Here is a 2,250-nt window from a genome sequence, read left to right as displayed (position 1 = left end):
CGGATGCTCACTGCTGGAGCAAACAACCCCAACACTTCAGCGGCTTGATACACAGCAGTCTATGACCCACTCATGGAACATTTTCCGGATCAGCAGGTGACTTTCCTTTAAGTGATGACAGGGCAGTGCTGTGTCAATGAAGGCCTGTGAGCTGGATTTTACGTGCTACATGTTTTTTGTAGGACTAATGAGCTTAAAATGTTCTTATGTTTTTCAAATGCACTCCAGCCTGGGCAATCTGGGCAATAGAGTGAGACTCAGTCTCAAAAAAAAGAATCTACATAACATCCTCAATTCTGCCTCTTGGTCCTCGGAGCCTACAATATATATTATCTGATACTTTTTCACAGAAATAGTCTGCTATTCCTTAATTTGGGGACCCACACTCCATCCACCTAGAGGCTCCACTATCTTCAACCAGAGACTTCCAGAGTTATGGTAATCCAGAGTACACAGGATGGCACATAGGAGGATTTTATGAGCCAGACCCAAAGGGCCACTCATCATTTTTTTCCATATTCTGCTAGCCAGAACTCAGTTTCTTGGCCACACCCAACCTCAAGGCAGCTGGGACATTAGCCCAGCTGCCTTCCTGGGAAGCGAAAAAGATGGATGGATGAACAGTTAGCTAGTCTCCGTTCTGGTAGACTACTTAACTTCCCTGTGTCTGTTTCAACCTAAGTGAAATGGGAATAATAAGTAGGATTTCAAGGAGGATTGAATGAGTTATGTACATAAAGTGCTTAGAACAGAACCTAGAACATTTGTGAGTGCTCTAAGTGTTTACTATTATTTTCTGTACTTACAGGCTAGGAATAGATACTCTTCTTGATACCTACTTCCCTTCACTCTCCCATATTCAACCAGTCACCACATCCTATCAGTTGTATCCCCCTAACATCCCTCAGAAATGCCCTCACTTCCAGTATGCCACTGTTTAAAATGTAGGTTTCATTATTATTCAGGTACGGTGAGGCCAATCCATCAGGAGATGACTACCATTGAAAACAGTTTGTTATGGTGACAATCCTGAGAGGAGGGGGCATACCACATTACAGGGGCCCATGCAGAGAAGCACCCGGGTAGGTTGGGAGGCAGAGGGAGTGACGGAAAGTATGGGCAAGAGTCTTGATTGCGGTTTCTTTGTGAAGGAGTGGGTAAGACAGGGTAAGCAGGTTTAGGATTGATTAGTTTGGATAGTTTTAGCAGACTCTGGGGCAGAGGGGTTGTCTCTAGCTGTCTGGTCCTGGGGTGATTAATGCAGGAGGACAGTGGCCTGAAGTGTAGGAACTTGATAAAGGAGGCAGCTGGTGACCTGGACTCCGAATTGGTTGGTTTGCATGTGAAAGACATGTTTTCAGTCCTTGATTTGCTATCTCTAGGAATTAACTAACTCTGAGATAGGCAGTCCTATGGTCAGCTAGGCCCCAAATGTCAAAATATAATAGTGCTATATAGAACAAGACATGGCTAATACAGCCAGTATGTCTCAGCTGGATTGCTTGCAATGGCTTCCTAAGTGCTCTTCCTCCAACTCACTTACCCTTGTGAATAAGCCTTCCTCCAAACAGGCAGCTGGCCTTTGGGAAACCTATATCTGATTGTGTCACTATCCAGCTTCAAGCTATGCAAGAGCTTCCTGAATCCCTTAAGAAAAAGATCAAAGGCCTCTCTCCTGTCTCTGCTTGTTCTGCTTTTCCTTAGCTTCTGGGGGCACCTTGGTTCCTCTAATGTGCCTTGTTCTTCTATCGGTTGGGTCCTTGCACCTGCTTTGCCTTTTGCCTGAAAAGCTCCTCTTTGCTTTGCAACCTCTGTGCCTTTGGTATTTAACATATGCTTCAGATTTCAGCTCAGATTCAAAACTTGCATCACCCCCTCCCGATACTGTGTCACTAATTGCTTTAGTTTAATGTGGCAAAGTTGATAAATATCCAGCTGGGCCTGGCTTTGTGCATACAAATCCCAGCTTCATCATTTCTCACCTGTTTGCACTTGCGTTAGTTATTTCATCCCTCTAAAAGTCAGTTTCCCCTCTCATAGCATAGGGATAACATTAGGAAAATTTCTTGGGCTTTTTGTTAGGATAGAATAAAATAAAATAAAAGAACATGTACTTAATATGTAATCATTTCTAATACTTCAGTGTTTCATATTATTAATATTTCCTGTTAAGCTTCAGAATTCTTTGTAACCTAGGACTCTAGGCAGTTACTAGCTATTAGCTAGGATTCAAATTGAGAACATTTTCAC

The 2,250-nt window shown here is 43.1% G+C and overlaps 1 annotated feature.

Annotated features, from left to right (window-relative positions):
- Positions 1,680-1,974: an enhancer, noted in NCBI's record as "tiled region #15083; K562 Activating non-DNase unmatched - State 24:Quies". NCBI's record gives its function as "activates a minimal TATA promoter and a strong SV40 promoter by Sharpr-MPRA in K562 cells {active_cell/tissue: K562}" and the evidence as "EXISTENCE:reporter gene assay evidence [ECO:0000049][PMID:27701403]".

This window comes from Homo sapiens, chromosome 6 (assembly GCF_000001405.40).
Source record: "Homo sapiens chromosome 6, GRCh38.p14 Primary Assembly".
Taxonomy (NCBI): domain Eukaryota; kingdom Metazoa; phylum Chordata; class Mammalia; order Primates; family Hominidae; genus Homo; species Homo sapiens.
The sequence above is the reverse complement of the archived record's forward strand: the minus strand, read 5'-3'. Positions and strand labels throughout refer to the sequence as shown.